The sequence below is a fragment of the Homo sapiens genome, chromosome 1, assembly GCF_000001405.40.
Source record: "Homo sapiens chromosome 1, GRCh38.p14 Primary Assembly".
NCBI lineage: Eukaryota > Metazoa > Chordata > Mammalia > Primates > Hominidae > Homo > Homo sapiens.
In genome coordinates, this window is record NC_000001.11 from 158,507,675 (window position 1) to 158,526,886 (window position 19,212).

General features: G+C 37.0%; 2 pseudogenes; both read left to right on the forward strand.

The window, feature by feature from the left end:
* Positions 7,111 to 8,251, forward strand: OR10R1P (olfactory receptor family 10 subfamily R member 1 pseudogene; annotated as a pseudogene).
* HSP90AA3P (heat shock protein 90 alpha family class A member 3, pseudogene) lies at positions 15,939 to 18,806 on the forward strand (annotated as a pseudogene).

Genomic DNA, 19,212 nt, shown 5'->3' on the forward strand with positions numbered 1-19,212 from the left:
CAATTGCTGGATGGTTCTAATCAACTATCTTGTTCCCATGACTCGACACTTTTGTCATTATATAAATAGCCTCTCTTTCTCTTATGATAGTTCTTTGCTTAAAGTTTTTTTCATTTAATATAAGTATAGCCACCCCTTCTGTCTTTTGGTTAACATTTACTTAATTGTCTTTTTCCATCCTTGTACTTTCAGTTCACGTGGGTTCTTAAATCCAAAGTGAGTCTTTTGTAGATAGCATAAAGTTGTTTTTTAAATCAATTTAGCCTATGCCTTTTAATTGAGGTGTTTAATCCATTTAAGTTTAATGTAATTATTGATAAAGATTTATTGTTGCCATCTTGTTATCCATTTTCTGACTGTCTTATTGTCCTTTTGTTCCTCTTTTTCTCTTTTGCTCTTTTCCTTTATGATTTGTTAATTTTTTTGTAGTGATATGCTTTGATTTTTTTTTTACTTTTCTTTTGTGCATATTGTATAGTATTTTCTTTGTGGCTACCATAAAACTTATATATGACTTTTCAAAGTTATGGGTGTTAATTTCAAGCTGATAACAATTTAACTTCAATTGCGTACAAAACTCTAAACTTTTACTCTTCCGCCTTATACATGTTACTGAAATTACAATTTACATCTTTTTATGTAGTGTTGTGGATACCTTGACAAATTATGTAGTTTCAGTTATTCTTAATAGTTTAATCTTTTAAACTTTTTGTTAGAATTAAAAGTGATATTGCTACATCACCATTACAGTATTGCAGTATTCTGTATCTGTCTATATACAGATGATTCCCTAAGTACAATGTTTCAATTTAGGATTTTTTGGCTTTATGATGGTGCAAAAGTGACACATATTTAGTATACTCCTTGACATATGATGGGGTTATATCCAGATAAATCTGTTATAAGTTGAAAATATTTTAAGTTAAAAATACTTGAACTTAACTTTTAACTTAAAATATTTTAACTTTTAACTGAAAAATATTGAAACAGTTATTTTTCCTGATCCTCTCCCTTATCTCACCCTCCACCCTCCAATAGACCCCCGTGTGTGCTGTTCCTCTCTATGTGTCCATGTGGTCTTATCATTTAGCTGTCACTTGTAAGTGAGAACACACGGTATTTGGTTTTCTGCTCCTGTGTTAGTTTGCTAAGGATAATAGCTCCAGCTTCATCCATGTCCCTGCAAAAGACATGATTACATCCCATATATAGGAGACATAAGACTGAGAATGTTTCAGCTTTTTGAATTGCTAAGAACATATATTTAAGGCTTTTACCTTCATTTTTTTTTCTGTAATTTGGATAAAGCCAGGCCAATGAAAAAGAAATACAGCACATACAGTGAAACTTAATCAAGTAAAACAGAGAAAGAAAAACTAGTTATTCATTCAACAAATATATATGTTACCTTTTTACTATGTATCAGGCAATATCCTAAATGATGGGGCTAAACATTCAGCAAAACATTAAAAAATCACCCCACAAAACCAGAAATATGTAAAGGAAACATGTAATCATAATTACACAGAAATTCTAACATATGTTAAGAATAAAAAGTAAATTATAATGGGGATGTTTTTCAGAGGTTGACCTCTCAATGAAGACTGAGCATAATGAAGTAATTCAAGTCCCTTTCTCTGAATATAGAAATAAAAGATATTCTTTGTTTGCATATTTGAACTGTGTTGGTATATTTGAGATGAAATATGTATCATACTAAGTTTGCTGGAAACCTGGGTTTAAACTCCAGTTTCAAAAAGGAATGACTATCTTTAATTTCCTGGAAAACTATCCTCAGGTACATGAGAATGTGAGCAGAGGCAGCTACTGGTTTGGGGTCCTGCCTGAGTTCACCACAAATTGTGTCAAGAAGTATTTCTGTAAGTGTGACTAACTATAGTATTTTTTCCAGGTCTATTTCTGTTCTAATACTTTAGAGGTTTTTGGACAGTTTTCTTTCTAGAGTTATGCAGTACCAAGTCTGGGGACTTGGCCAGCATCCTGTGGAGAAATGTTTATTTAGGAAGATGCACTAAGCAGACCAGAAGTCCAAAAAAAACCCCAAAACTCAGCTGCAAATGGAAAAAAAAAACTTTGTGAACATTTGAAAATTGCTGGAAGCAGCAGTAGCTGCCATGGGATCTCTGTGGGTAACCTGTGACAATGGTTAGTATAATTGGAAAGAAAAAGACTCTGAGACAGGAATCCTCTCATTTGGGAGTTTCTACTGCTCTGATAGCACCTTCTGGGAACAATGCCAGGAACGTCTGCTGGGAGCCACTGACAGAAACTGCAACAAATAGACTCAGGCTGGGGAAGACCTCGATGCTAAGTGCCTTCAATTCTCTCTGCCATCCTCTTGCGAGTCACTCATAACAAGCTGAGGGAGAATAGAGAGGGCAGATTTTTCCTCTGTTATCTCACAGAGGAGGAAGAATAACAATTTCCAGGAAACTTGAAAATCTAGATACTGTGTTACCGAGTCCAGAAATAAAAAGTTCAACTTTTAACCTAATTTCAAATTCAGGGTCTCACAACAGTGGCACACAAATGTAGACAGGTACTTAATTGTTTTCTCTCCAACCCCAAGTCCCTCTCATCTATCTTGAGTCAGACTATTAGAGAGTTGCAGGAAAGAATGAGAATAATGGAGGACTACCCAAGCCCTCTAGGAGGTTACCCACAAAGCACTTTACTCCCATTCACAAACGTTGAGGCGGACCCTTGATTGAAGTTATTTTCACCTCCAGAAAGCTGGAAAAAAGCAGAGTATCACTTCTGTGACCTGCACTTAAGCACTCCAGAATTTGTCTTCAGTCTCTAAATATATATTCTTTCCTGCTGTTCTTCAAGGTTTCAGCTCTGTCATCAAAACATTGCTCTTTTCCCCGTCCCTCATGCTGTGCTCCTATGCTCCTCTCCTTGGTGCAGCAACTCAATTGTTAGGCTTCAGATGAACACAGACTAAAAGAGAGAACTTTGCTTCTTTTTTGACAATGATAAAGCAAGACTTTGTCCTGATGAAGTCTAAGGGAAAAAAGAGCTTCTCCTTCACTAAAAAAGGCCTTGTAAAAGACAGGCCTAAATTATCTCCTATAATGTGGTTTTTCCATATATACTTGTACTTCCTTAATTTACAATAGCTTTCAGCCTCTAAGAGACACCAGGGAACTTGGAAGAGATGATCAACTAATTATCAATGCCATTTTTTTCCATTTTTCTTTTTTTGAGACAGAGTCTCATTTTATTACACAGGCTGGAGTGCAGAGGCACAATTTTGGCTCACTGCAACCTCCGTCTCCTGAGTTCGAGTGATTCTCCTGCCTCAGCCTCCTGAGTAACTAGGATTACAGGCACCTGCCACCATGCCCGGGTAATTTTTGTGTTTTTAGCAGAGATCGGGTTTCGCCATGTTGGCCAGGTTGGTCTCAAACTCCTTACCTCAGACGATCCACCTGCCTCGGCCTCCCAGAGTGCTGGGATTACACGCATGAGCCGCTGTGCCCCACCTTCTGTTTTTTTATTTTATTATTTGTTTCTATTAGACCTGTGAGATTTTGGATCTGTGGTGTTCTCTGCATCCTCTTTGCTAAGTGAGAGAAGTACGGAACTGTGCCAAAAATAATATTGCAATAATGACTCCCTGGAGTTTTGGAAAGTATAAGTACCAAGCAACATTTTGGGGCCCTAGCTAATAAGAGACTAATGAAAAGTTTTCCAATGATGCTTTGGGCGATGCTTCTCAGAATTATCAGAAGAGCAGGTAGGTAAACAGAGTTTGGGGCCTTGAGAGGTCAATAGTAGAAAGGAATAGAATAGTGTTATTTCAATATAGAAATGGTTGTGATAACATTAAGTTTTGAGTCTCATCTCATTAGAAGATTTCACTGGATTACAATAGCTAAGTTCTAGGGAACATCAGAAAATAACCCTGTTTGGATTATTTTATGTGGGAAAGTGAATGAAGATAGTATGTGAATTTACTAACAGAAAAGTACCAGTCACCATGCTCATTTTAGAAATGCTCTTATTCTCCCGTGAGTTTTAGTTTGTTTATCTAGTTACTCAGTGATAGTGAGATAATATATGATAGCTTGAAAAAATGGAAGATAGTATAGGGCTTGGGAGAGATAAAATAGAGCCTCACCAAATGAGCTACAATAAGCTATTGCTTCAAGCAAATGCCATGAAATATGTTATATTGAGCCCATAGCACTGATTACTTCCCTATGAGCCATCTCAGAAAGACTGATTCCTTAAGCAAGGCTTCTCTGGGTAACTGAAAAGGAAAAAAATAGATACCCATAACTTTCCGTCAAGAATGAGCTTTCAACAGTTCACTCACTTTTCATTCTCAAATGTCACATGAGAGTATTATCTGGTGACAAAGGTATATTAGAAATGTCCAAGCAATGAGGAGGTAAAAAAATGAGTGTCTAATTAACTTGCCATTCTTTACAGACCTTCTGCTGTTTTTGAATCTCACCATCCTAACATTCTGTGGACAAAAAATCTACTGCATAAGCCTCAGAGATAGCAACTGGGGAGGTAAATAAATTGCACTCCTCAGGGAAGATACTGGTACTATTTTTTTCGTTAGTCACCAGTTAATAAATAAAGTATTGTGAAGAGCCAGACTGAGAGATAAAAAAGTAAAAATAAAAATAAATGCCACAGTAGGGAAATTCATGAGAGCTAGATCCAGTTCATATTCCACAACTTCTTGGTCGTGTGAAAGATCAAATTGTGGGTAGTACAATCATAAATATGCAATGTGATCTAGTAGGTTGCAAACTGGATCTTTATTCCCATCAATTTCCTTTTGAGGCTTAAAATTCCATCACACCCTTAATGAGCTTAAATAATGCCTTTTACAGATGCCCTTTATATAATAAAATATTTAATAATCAACTAATTGAACAAGTAGCTTTTAGATAGCAATTTGTTTGTAGATATTATGGGGAATACAAAATTACTCCAAGGCCTTTATGCTCTGATATATGAAAAAGTGCATTTAACAGAGATATAGACCAATGGAACAAAACAGAGCCCTCAGAAATAATGCCACATATCTACAACCATCTGATCTTTGACAAACCTGACAAAAACAAGAAATGGGGAAAGGATTCCCTATTTAATAAATGGTGCTGGGAAAACTGGCTAGCCATATGTAGAAAGCTGAAACTGGATCCCTTCCTTACACCTTATACAAAAATTAATTCAAGATGGATTAAAGACTTACATGTTAGTCCTAAAACCATAAAAACCCTAGAAGAAAACCTAGGCAATACCATTCAGGACATAGGCATGGGCAAGGACTTCATGTCTAAAACACCAAAAACAATGGCAACAAAAGCCAAAATTGACAAATGGGATCTAATTAAACTAAAGAGCGTCTGCACAGCAAAAGAAACCACCATCAGAGTGAACAGGCAACCTACAGAATGGGAGAAAATTTTTGCAACCTACTCATCTGACAAAGGGCTAATATCCAGAATCTACAATGAACTCCAACAAATTTACAAGAAGAAACCAAACAACCCCATCAAAAAGTGGGCCAAAGATATGAACAGACACTTCTCAAAAGAAGACATTTATGCAGCCAAAAAACACATGAAAAAATGCTCATCATCACTGGCCATCAGAGAAATGCAAATCAAAACCACAATGAGATACCATCTCACACCAGTTAGAATGGCGATCATTAAAAAGTCAGGAAACAACAGGTGCTGGAGAGGATGTGGAGAAATAGGAACACTTTCACACTGTTGGTGGAACTGTAAACTAGTTCAACCATTGTGGAAGTCAGTGTGGCGATTCCTCAGGGATCTATAACTGGAAATACCATTTGACCTAGCCATCCCATTACTGGGTATATACCCAGAGGATTATAAATCATGCTGCTGTAAAGACACATGCCCACGTATGTTTATAGCAGCACTATTCACAATAGCAAAGACTTGGAACCAACCCAAATGTCCAACAATGATAGACTGGATTAAGAAAATGTGGCACATATACACCATGGAATACTATGCAGACATAAAAAATGATGAGTTCATGTCCTTTGCAGGGACATGGATGAAGCTGGAAACCATCATTCGCAGGAAACTATCGCAAGGAGAATAAACCAAACACCGCATGTTCTCACTCATAGGTGGGAATTGAACAATGAGAACACATGGACACAGGAAGGGGAACATCACACAATGGAGACTGTTGTGGGGTGGCGGGAGGTGGGAGGGATAGCATTAGGAGATATACCTAATGCTAAATGACAAGTTAATGGGTGCAGTACACCAACATGGCACATGTATACATATGTAACAAACCTGCACGTTGTGCACATGTACCCTAAAACTTAAAGTATAATAATAATAAAAAAATTTAAAAAAGAAAAAAAAGAAAAAGCGCATTTCAAGATCATGCAATTGACTATTCAATCATTGTATATTAATAATTTCTGTGAATAGCACTGTGCTGGGCACTAAAGAAAAAAATTAAATTTATACAACTAATTTTATGAACTTAGATATGCACATTGTGAACTTAGAGTTCATATCTATCTTCTGTGATTCACTCTAGTATAGAATAGAAAGTTGCTAAATAATTTAAAAGAAAGGAAATTTTATATCACCCTTAAATTCAGAGACCAGAGTTGCCAGGGGTTATAGTTCTATTTGGGTCATCAAAAATGAATGCAAAGTGGATAAAGATCTTCCAGATAGAGGGAAAGAGATGAGGAAATCACAGAGGTGAGGTGTTGCAAGATGAGAAAACATAGTCTTAACATGAAAAAAACTTCATTTTTTTATTGGAGAATTTAAGGACAGTGGTTGGGGAGAGGAGAGAACACTTGGTGAAGAAAGTAAGAGATGCTTTAGCATCATTCCTGCTAAGAATTATACTTTGCTTATACAGCCTAACGAAATTGTGTAATATAGACAATAAGTATTTATTAAACGTGTGTTTAATAAAGTAGTTAAATTCACATGTTAATTTCCTGTTTGCTATTTAAAGTAGGCAATGTGAAAAGATCACCTAGACTTAAACGTTATAAGAGATGTAAACATGTCACTGGAAACAAACGTAATCTGAGTATTTTGAAACAATACAATGAATAGATATGATCACTAGGGCATTTACTACTACAGGTTCTACCCCCTTTTCTGATTTATTGTTTCTCAATCCATAGTGTAAGTAACTCCTGCATCTTTTAGGGCAAACTATCTTCTTTCATTTTTGTTCTCTGTAGGTCAATCTCTGGGACCAAGTCAATCAAGCTAACTTCTCTGTCAGAGTTCCTGCTTCTTGAGTTCTCCAGCCTTGAAGAAATCCAGCAGATCCTTTTTCTGTCTGCTTGTGGCTATATCTGATTGTTCTGAGTGGAAATATCACCACTGTCACTGTCATCCGCCTGGATCAAAGCCTCCACATACCTGTATACTTATTCCTAGGGATCCTCTCCATTTCTGGGACATGCTATACCTTTGTCATTCTGCCCAAGATGCTCATAGATCTGTTGTCTTTGCTCAGAACAATCTCATTTATTAACTGCCACTCCAGTGTTCTTCTTTCTGGGTTTTGCTGTCACTAATTTCATGTTCCTGGGCATGACAGTTTATGATTCCTATGTTGCCATCTGCCATCCACTTCACTACCCTGTCCTTACGAGCTGGCAGATATGTAAACAACTGGCAGCAACGTGTGCTGTGATTGTTTTTTTTTGTTTGTTTGTTTTCACTGATAGGCTCCTTCTTAGATTTTCAGCTGCTTTTCTGTGGCCCAAACAAGATCAACCACTACTTCTGTGACATCTCACTGCTTATTCAGCTTGCCTGTACTGATACCTACATCAGGGAGCTAGTCATCTTCATTGGTGGAATTCTAGCACTTACGGTTCCTCTGATTTTATTTGCATCTCCTATGGCTTCATTGTTCACACCATCCTGAGGATCCCATATGTGAAAGCAAGCAAAAAGCCATCTCTACTTGTGCCTCCCATCTTATTATGGTCGTTGTCCATTATGGCTGTGCCTCCTTTGTCAACCTGTGACCATCAGCCAAATAATCATCCAGCAAATAACCATCTAGCAAGAACAGGCTGGTGACAGTGACCTTACACAGTTGTGACTCCGTTGTTGAATCCATGGTATATAGCTTCAAGAATAAGAACGTTCAGATGGCCATTTGGAAAGTGATTTGCCAAGGAGGATTTCCTCCTAAAGCTATAATAAGATTATTTCACATCTACAGAAACATTATTTCAGAGGACATAGTGATAATTATAATGTTAATAATACTCTTGTTTTTCATTCACATAGCACTTTACTAGCCTCATAGTACATGCTTCCCATGATATTATTTTAATGAACTTTTTGGGGTGCCATCTGAAACTTGGGTTTATCAAAAATCAGATCCAAGCCTCAAAGACTTTTCAAACTTGAACAAGTAAGTATTTTGATTTCTCAGTATATTTAAAGGATCGTTTTAGTTTCTTTGGTGACAGATAAGTAAAACATCATGGGTGGTAATTTAGTATAGAAGGTTCAACTATTACAACTTCTCTATCGTCTAGAACAATCTTAGTAAGGCACCTTACAATGAGATTATAAAGAAAATGGAACCAATGTAATGGAATTTTCTTATATAATTATGAGCTACCAGTGTCGGAGAGAACCTAGGGCTATCATGTCCACTTCTCAGTCATTGTAGGATTCTCACCTGCAGCATTCTAGCCTCAATTAACTGCTCAATAGGGAGTTATATCACTGTTAAATATTTCTAAGTGTTACAAAGTTCCACTTTTATGTATCATCCTCCTTTTGCTCCTATTGTCTCTAGAGATGTATAACTTGTATATAATATTTAACCTACACAGCAACAATTCAAATATTTGAAGAAGCATAATGTATGCCTCCATTAAACACTTAACCTACCTGAAGATGCTTTTGAACTGCATGATATATCTGAGTTCACAGGCTCCTCAAAATCTTGGTTATCTTTCTCTAGATTCTTTAGATACTTTCCATTTTGTTAATAGTGTTCTTAAAATGACTTACCAGGAAATGAGGTAACACTGCAGGTGAGTTAAGATAATCACTTTCCTTATTCTGGAAGTCAATTTTAAGCCAATACAACTTAAAGTTCACTACTTCTCTATCAGTTCTACCACATATGTGCTCCCCTCTGACCCTTAAGTTGCTTAGACTAATGAGTTTAATGTTATATTTCTACAACCCTATGATTATGAAACCTATTATGCTTAGTTTAGTTTAATTTTATTCTTTAAAACAATATTATATTTGGAATTTGTTCTTTTAAATTACTGTTTTTGATTTTAGCATATAGTTTCAGAATACAAAGGTCTTTTCACATCCCATTTATAATATGCAATCTGCTGGCTGGCTCTCTTATTGTTTCTTTGTATCTCTTCTAGACTTGAATAGTAAACAGTATTTGTATTGTATGAAAACACAATTAATAGTGGTTGTGTGGATTCCAGTGCTCAATGGCAAAGAGAACTATGGTTGAATACTGATGCCTGGCAAGAGGTGAATGTGATTCATGGCTATATGGTCAGATGTTCATACCTTTGTCTTAGATACTCAATAAAATGAAATCACTTATCACTCAGTCTCCACAAGCTCCATTTTGGACACCCTCATGCTTGATTTCCTCTCCATCACATAATGGGAGGCACTGAAAATATGTTCTTCTTTAACATTTACAAGTTCTAAAAAGTAAATAAATGTAAATGTAATAGGTAACTCTTTTAAAAAACATATTCTTGGGCCGGGCACAGTGGCTCACACCTGTAATCCCAGCACTTTGGGAGGCTGAGGCGGGCGGATCACGAGGTCAGGAGATCGAGACCATCCTGGCTAACACAGTGAGACCCCGTCTCTACTAAAAATACAAAAAATTAGCCAGGAGTGGAGGCATGCGCCTGTAGTCCCCAATACTCAAGAGACTAAGGCAGGAGAATCGCTTGAACCTGGGAGGCGGAGGTTGTAGTGAGCCAAAATCGCGCCATTGCACTCCAGCTTGGGCGACAGAGTGAGAGTCGGTCTGAAAACAACAACAACAACAACAACAACAAAAACCATATTCTTGGAAATAATATAAATCTCATGGGTGAATCAGAACAGATTAATTCATGATGCCATAAGAATTACCTGGATTGCCAGATTACCTAGGCAACTTTGTAACAATCAGGATGGTAGAAGCAGGATCTGTGGGTGGATGGGACATGGTCTTATGAAGTGAAAGTAAGAAATTACCCGAAGTACCTGGAAAAGTTTCTTCTATTGCCACAGAGAAAAATGCCATGGCATTATTTTCTGTCAAGTCTCTCATGTCTCCCACCACGTATCTCTTATAACCTTCCTTTGTGGCAGTGATATTCTAAAACAGTTATGCCGTTACAACTATTCTTCATGCTTATATTACATGTTTTGTTGGTCAAGATTTGCTTTTCTCTTCATTTTAACAAAAATACACTATGATAAAAAAATGAATAGGAAAAGATACAGAGAATGATATTTCTCTGCTTTTTTTTTTCGTGTCTTGAAAAACAGGGATTAAGAATCTAACATTCTGTGAATAAACACAGAGAATGAATGTGTATAAATTGTTTTCAAGTTGGATACTTTCAGACTGGTTCTATCTACCCACACTCACCCTTCAGTAATAGATCTAACAGAAAGCTGCAGCAACTCAAAGGAAGCCAAGCAATTAATCCTAGAGGAAGGCACTCTTACTACGCCTTGATTTGCCAAGCTTTTTTTTTTTTTTTTTTTTTTGAGACAGAGTCTTGCTCTGTTGCCCCGGCTGGAGTGCAGTGGCACGATCTCGGCTCACTGCAAGCTCTGCCTCCTGGGTTCATGCCATTCTCCTGCCTCAGCCTCCCAAGTAGCCGGGACTACAGGCGTTGGCCACCACAACCAGCTAATTTTTTGTGTTTTTAGTAGAGACGGGATTTCACCGTGTTAGGCAGGAAGGTCTGGATCTCCTGACCTTGTGATTTGCCCGCCTCGACCTCCCTGTCAAGCTTTTATAGGTAGGAAAAGCAGCCTTAGTATAGATATTGGAAAATAAAGGAGAGAAATTGACTGACTAATAGCAATTTAATAAATAAATAAAGCTGCCTTTAAGAGTCTATCAATTATTTACTCTTTCATCAACTATATATTGAGTTTGACGATGGAAGTTACAACAATGAAAGATCCATTTTTTCTGCTTTCAAAATATTGAATCTACTACTTACTTCCCCCAAATCCTCACTCAGGTAAGAGAGTAGTTTTCTTCTTTCTTTTTTGTTGCATACCTTATTATTATTCCTACTGAACCAGTAGTAACACAATATACGAAATACATTCTCTTGGGCATAAGGTCAGTATATAGGTGGGAATCCCATAGGGCTAAAAAGAAAAACAATCTAGGATTTCTGGATGTGCTCTGAAGTGGCACCTTCTAAGCTGCAGTATTTGTTCAACAGTGTTTTTCCAACAAAAAAGAGGATGAGCTCACCTGAGAAGCATCCTGAAGGGAAACACCGTTGCACTAGGCAGAGATCAGGAGACCTAGAAATTCTTCTAACACAATCTGTGACTGTGTACTTGTTTCTTTTATTAAGTAAAAACTGTTGAAAATTCTATTTGTACACATTTTAAGTAATGCTTTTTTTCTTTTTCTGTGGCCTCCTTTTCTACTTATTTTACAATTAAAATATTCAAAAATATGTAAAAGGCATTGAGTAAGTTAATGAACATCAGTAAGGTAGAGAATCCTATCAAGATGGATTAATATAAATTGTACTTAACTTTCTACATTAAAAAGCTAAAAGTTAGAAAAATATGTGACATAGCAGTTTGTAGACATTAGACAAGAGACAGAATAAGACTGTTATTCTTGAGAAAAGAGAAATAAATGATTTCCACATGTTATGACTTAAAAAGTATTTGAAGAGTACAAAGCAAAGAAATGTGGATCCTGTAACAGACTCTAGACAATCCTAATTTTAGTTCTAAAGAAAAACTGAAGATGGAAATGGGAGTTAAGAGAGTGAAAGAGAAAAAACAGCCCATGATTAACTTCAGCTGGAATTATTCCAACACTTATGTCTCAGTATTATCCAGTTGAACATAAGTAATTCCATAGGACTTTAGTACTGGACATTGTGTGACCATGATGGAGTGAGAAAAAATATGTTAAAGTATTTTAAATAGAAATTTATATGCTTCTTATATTTAAAAATATAATAACACCAAGATAATACTGGATAATACTGAGACATAACTGATGGAATAATACAAGCTCTATATGTGTATATACATGTATGTATATTTATGTGTTTATATATAGAAAGAGAGAGAAAAAGAGAGAGAGGCAGCAGAGGACACCAAAATATATCAAGTAGTCTTACTGAATTAAGGATTAGATTAGATAAAGATTATAGAGAAGACTAGATTACATAGAGTATTAAGGAGACTAGATTAGATAAAGATTAGAGTATAGAGAAGACAAAGGGGCCATTTCAAGACAGATAACTAAAGAGAAGGGATTAGCACACACATAGGGAGGTCTAATAGCTGCAAAGGGATCTCCTCAAATCTTTGGAAGAGTGCTAATTCGTACATTTGTTAGAGTAAACTTCTTGTAGAAGATGAACAACTACTGGAAGCAATAGACTAAACAAGTCCTAGAGTTCACACAAAGAAGAGTTTATATTCCCAACAGCCATCAAGTATAATTAATAGAAATAAAAAATATTATCTGAATTTTAAAAATACATTAAGCAGGATTAGCTGCAGACACTGCCAAAGAAAAGGTCAATTAACTTAAACACATAGCCAACAAAACAACCTGTAATTATAGCAAAACTTCAAAAACCCCAAATAACGACAACAACAACAAAACAAAAACAGAGGCTTGATGACTACGGTAAAGTGCCAAGCTGTCAAATATTCATGTAATTGAGATCCCTTATAAACCCCCAAACCCAAAAATGTCAGAAATTTCAAGCAGAATAAAAACCAAAATTATGCTAGAACATATAAGAATATAAGAATTCAATTATTAAAAACTAATGATAAAAAGAAAATTTTAAAAATAGTGAGAGACAAAAGGAGAGAAAGATGGTGAAACAGAAAGCCCACTGCTTACATTCCTTGACAGCAGCAATAAGTTCACAGCCATCAATGGGAAAATACCTCTTTGTGGGAGCCTTGAGATTTAGATAGGAGATTGTGAAACCCTAGTGAAGATCAAGATGTAGGAAAGCCATTTTGAGGGGGCAGACCTGCCAACAGTGGTCTCAGCTCTAGACTTAGCAATGGCCTTGTTTTATTGTGGACTTGGATACAGCCTTATTTTGCCATCAGTCAAGGAGCCCAGGAGGAGTCACATATACTAGTGCTTCAGAAAACAAGCTTGTTGACCTCGGTCCCAGGTGTGGAACTTGAAATGGCTCTGAAACTCAACTCCAGGCATTAATAGCTGTGGTCTGAGAGTAGGCTTGTCCATTCAAGAACCAAGAGAAGGACGAGCTTGTCTATGACCCTCAGAGGCAGACCTGCTGCCATCAGTCTCACAGAGGATCCTGACACAGCCTTGTAACTTGGATTCATCCCCTCTCAGGTGTGGTCTGAGGGCAGTTTTGCCTGACCAGGGACCAAATGGGGGATACACCAAACCTTGACCTCAGAGGCAGGCCTGCAGATCTTTGTCTTTACTGCAGCCCTGTGACTTATATTCATCTCCTCTCAACTGTAGGCCAGGACAAGTACTGCCTGCAAAGGGACCTACCCAGTCACTTAATGGGAGCTCTCCCAAAGACCTGGAGGAAACCATACCCATCCACAAACCTAGTAACAGGCCTACCATCTGTGGACTCTGAAATGGATCCTCATTCTAGCACCAACCCTACTGCCCAATGTACTGGAGGTAATTCAGTCCACCCGGGGGGAACCAGACAGAATCCATACCCACTGGAGGCCCTGGTAACAGGTCTATTAAGCACAGATCCCATTGTAGATGAAGAGGCAGCCACATGATCTAGCTCGAAACCCACTTTACTAGGATCCTGGGGGCAATCTCACCAGCATAGAGGCTCAACAGGAGAAAGCTTTTATCTGCCAAAAGCAGTGTTTAAATGCCAGAAAAGATGTTTATTCAGACATCAATGCGCAGACATCAATGCAATCTATACAGATAATGAAGAATTAGGCAAATGTGACACCACCAAAAGAAACTAGTAAAGCTTCAGTAGTAAATCACAAAGAAATAGAGATCTAGGAATTGCCTGAGAAAGAATTCAAAATAACCATCTTAAGGATCTTGAAGAAATGCAAGGAAATGCACATAGAAAATGAATTGAAATTAGAAAAACAATAATAAACTACCGGTGTCTCAGAAGGAAAAAGAAGCAAATAAAGAGGCATAAAGCTTATTTAAAGAAATACTGGCTGAAAACTTCCAAAATCATGGGAGAGACATAGACTCAATACAGTTTCATGGAAATCAAAATGTCCAAACAATATCAACCCCAACAGTAACACTCTGAAGCACATTATAATCAACTTATTATAAGTCAAACACAAAAAGAGACTTTTGAAAGCAGCAGTAAAAAGAAACTTGTCACCTAAAAGGGAACCCCTTTAAGGATATCAGCAGACTTGGCAAAAACAAAACAAAACCTAAAAAAAAAAATTTTATATGCCCGGATGGTGTGGGATGATATAGCCAAAGAGCAGAAAGAAAAAAATAAAAACTGCCCAAGAATACTATACGTAAAAAATCTCTCTCAGAAATGAAGCAGAAATAAAGACATACTCAGACAAAGGTAACACAGGAATGGAAAACCAAACATTGCATGTTCTCACTCATAAGTAGGAGTTGAACAATGAGGATACATGGACACAGGGAGGGGAACAACACACACCACGGCCCGTGTGGGGTTGGGGGGCAAGGGGAGGGAGGGAGAGCATTAGGACAAATAGCTAATGCATGCAGGGCTTAAAATTTAGATGACGGGTTGGTAGGTGCAGCAAACCACCATGGCACACATATACTTATGTAACAAACCTACACATTCTGCACTTGTATCCCGGAACTTAAAGTAAAATGTAAAAAAAAAAAAAAAAAAAAAAAAAAATACTAGAGTTCTTCAAGTTGTAACAAAAAGATGTTAAAGCCAGGTGCCGTGGCTCATGCCTGTAATCCCATCACTTAGGGAAGCCAAGGTGGGAGGATCATTTGACCTCAGGAGTGTAAGACCAGCCTGTGTAACATAGCGACATCACATCTCTAAAATAAAGAAATAGATAACATGAAACATTTTTAAGAAGTTAATAGTTAAAAAAGCCACTAGTAAAAGTAAATAGTCAAATCTGGAATAATCTAATACTGTAATGGCACTGTGTAAATCATTTTAAATTCTATTATAAAAGCTTAAAACACAGAAATATTGAAAATAACTATATCTATTCTAATTTGGCAATGAATACACAATCTAGAAAGATGTGAAGTGTGACATGAATAACATAAAATGTGGGCAGAGTGAAGTAAAAGTGTAGAGTTTTTGTATGCAATTTCAGTTGTTAGCAGCTTAAATTAGAATGTTATAATTATAAGATGTTTTATATAAGCCCCATGATAACCAAGTAGAAAAACAACTCTAGTTGATACATAAAAAACAAAGACATGAATCAAAGTGTGCACCTATCAAAATTCAACAAATTATAAAGAAAGATAGGAAGATTGGAAAAAAGAAATAAAAGAACTACAAAGCAGTCAGCAAAAATCAAAATGCCGGTAGTAAATCCTTTACCTATCAATAATTACTTTAAATGTAAATGAATTACATTTTCCAGTCAAAAGATACAGAGTGGCTGAATGGATTTTAAGAAAAATAAATAAATAAAAAATAAAAGCCGAGGTGCTTCAGCATCCTGGTACTGATGTGCTGTGGAGCCCTTGTGGTCCCTTAGCCAAGATGCCTGAGGAAACCGAGACCCAAGACAAATCGATGGAGGAGGAGGAGGTTGAGACATTCACCTTTCAGGCAGAAATTGCCCAGTTGATGTCACTGATCATCAATACTTTCTACTCGAAGAAAGAGATCTTTCTGAGAGAACTAATTTCAAATTCATCAGATGCATTGGACAAAATCTGATATGAAAGGTTGATGGATTCCAGTAAATTAGACTCTGGGAAAGGGCTGCATATTAACCTTGTACCAAACAAACAAAATCAAACCCTCACTATTGTGGACACTAGAATTGGAATGACCAAGACTGACTTGATCAATAACCTCGGTACTGTCACCAAGTCTGGGACCAAAGCATTCATGGAAGCTTTGCAGGCTGATGCAGATATCTCTATGATTGGCCATTTCGGGGTTGGTTTTTATTCTGCTTATTTGGTTGCCAAGAAAGTAACTGTGATCAGCAAACATAACAATGATGAGCAGTACACCTGGGAGTCCTCAGCAGGGGGATCATTCACAGTGAGGACAGACGAGTGAACCTATGGGTCGTGGAACAAAGGTTATCCTACACCTGAAGGAAGACCAAATGAGTACTTGGAGGAATGAAGAATAAAAACATTTTTGAAGAAACATTCTCAGTTTATTGGATATCCCATTACTCTTTTTGTGGAGAAGGAACATGATAAAGAAGTCAGAGATGATGAAGCTGAAGAAAAGGAAGATAAAGAAGAAGAAAATGAAAAAGAAGAGAAAGAGTCCGAAGACAAACCTGAAATTGAAGATGTTGGTTCTGATGAAGAAGAAGAAGAAAAGAAGGATGGTGACAAAAAGAATAAGAAGATTAAGGAAAAGTACATCGATCAAGAAAAACTCAACAAAACAAAGCCCATCTGGACCAGAAATCCTGATGATATTACTAATGAGGAGTAAGAATTCTACAAGAGCTTGACCAATGACTGGGAAGATCATTGGCAGTGAAGCATTTTTCAGTTGAAGGACACTTGGAATTCAGAGCCCTTCTATTTGTCCCACAACATGCTCCTTTTGACTTGTTTGGAAAGAGAGAGAAAAAGAACATCAAATTGTATGTACACAGAGTTTCCATCACGGATAACTGTGAGGAGCTAATCCCTGCGTATCTGAACTTCATTGGAAAGGTGGTGGACTCAGAGGATCTCCGTCTAAATATTTCCCATGAGATGTTGTGACAAAGCAAAATTTTGGAAGTTATCAGGAAAAATTTGGTCAAAAAATGCTTAGAACTCTTTACCAAACTGGCAGAAGATAAAGAGAACTACAAGAAATTCTATGAGCAGTTCTCTAAAAGCGTAAAGCTTGAAATATATGAAGACTCTCAACATTGGAAGAAGTTTTCAGAGCTGTTAAGATACTACACATCTGCTTCTGGTGATGAGATGGTTTCTCTCAAGGACTACTGCACCAGAATGAAGGAAAACTAGAAACATATCTATTACATCACAGGTGAGACCAAGGACCAGGTAGCTAAATTTGTGGAATGTCTTCGGAAACATGGCTTAGAAGTGAACTATATGATCAAGCCAATTGATGAGTACTGTGTCCAACACTGAAGGAATTTGAGGGGAAGACTTTAGTGTCAGTCACCAAAGAGGGCTTGGAACTTCCAGAGGATGAAGAAGAAAAAAAGAAACAGGAAGAGAAAAAAACAAAGTTTGAGAACATCTGCAAAATCATGAAAGACATATTGGAGAAAAAAGTTGAAAAGGTGGTTGTGCCAAACTGATTGGTGAAGTCTCCATGCTATATTGTCACGAGCATATATGGCTGGACAGCAAACATGGAAAGAATCATGAAAGCTCAAGTCCTAAGAGACAACTCAACAATGGGTTACATGGCAGCAAAGAAACACCTGGAGATAAACCCTGACCATTCCATTATTGAGACCTTAAGGCAAAAGGCAGAGGCAGATAAGTACAAGTCTGTGCAGGATCTGGTCGTCTTGCTTTACAAAACTGCTCTTTTGTCTTCCGGCTTTGGTCTGGAAGATCCCCAGACACATGCTAACAGGATCTACAGGATGATCAAACTTGGTGTGGGTATTGATGAAAATGACCCTACTGCTGATGATACTGCTGAAGAAATGTCACCCCTTGAAGGAGACAACGACACATCATGCATGGAAGAAACAGACTAAGCTCCAGCTGAGGGAAATATATTTTCAAGGATATTTTTCTTTATTTTTTGTTAACATTAAAAAGTCTGTATGGCATGACAACAACTACTTTAAGGGGAAGATAAGATTTCTTTCTACTTCTAAGTGATGCTGTGATACCTTAAGCACTAAAGCAGAGCTAGTAATTTTTTTCTTAGTTTCACATTGGCTTATTTTAACAGATCGAAGTAATGTGTGTTGCAGGATGTGTGAAACATGATGTTTACTTTGTGGTCTAAAGTGTTTAGCTATCAATCCATATTCCTTAGTAGGCCAAATCTTGTTATCCAAGTGTTCCTGAGCTATATCTTGATGTTTAGAAGAAAAGTATTTGTTACATTTTGTAGCATCTACTTTTGAACTTTTCATCCCCTGTAGTTGCCAGTTCTGTATGAACTAGTCCTCTAGAAATAGGTTAAACTGAAGCAACTTGATGGAAGGAAATCTCCACAGAGAGTTCTTGTTCTCCAAAGAAAAGTATTGTTTGGAGGAGCAAAGTTATAAGCCTACCTAAGCCTATCACAAAGCTTTTCAAAAAATAACTCAGAGCCAGTCTTGTGGATGGAAATGTAGTGCCCGAGTCACATTTTGCTTAAAGTTGTAACAAATACAGAAGAGTGAAAAAAAAAAAAAAAGCCAAGATCTAACAATATGCTGCCTACAAAAGACTCTTTTTAGCCTTAGGAACACATGTTAAAAGTGAAGGGATAGAGCAAGATATTTCATGCAAATGTAAACCAAAAAAAATCAGGGAAAGTTATACTTCCATCAGACAAAATAGACTTTCAATCAAAATCTGTCATAAGAGACAAAGAAAGTCACTGTACAATGATAAAGGGATGATGTCATCTTGAGGATATAAGAACTGTAAAGATAGATGCATTCAACATGGGAACACCTAAACATATATAAAGCAAGTAGTAACAGAACTGTAGGGAGAAATAAACAGCAATATAATAATGAGACTTCACTATCCTACTTTTAAAAATGGACAGATCATTCAGAGAGTGAATCAATGTGGAAACAGGAG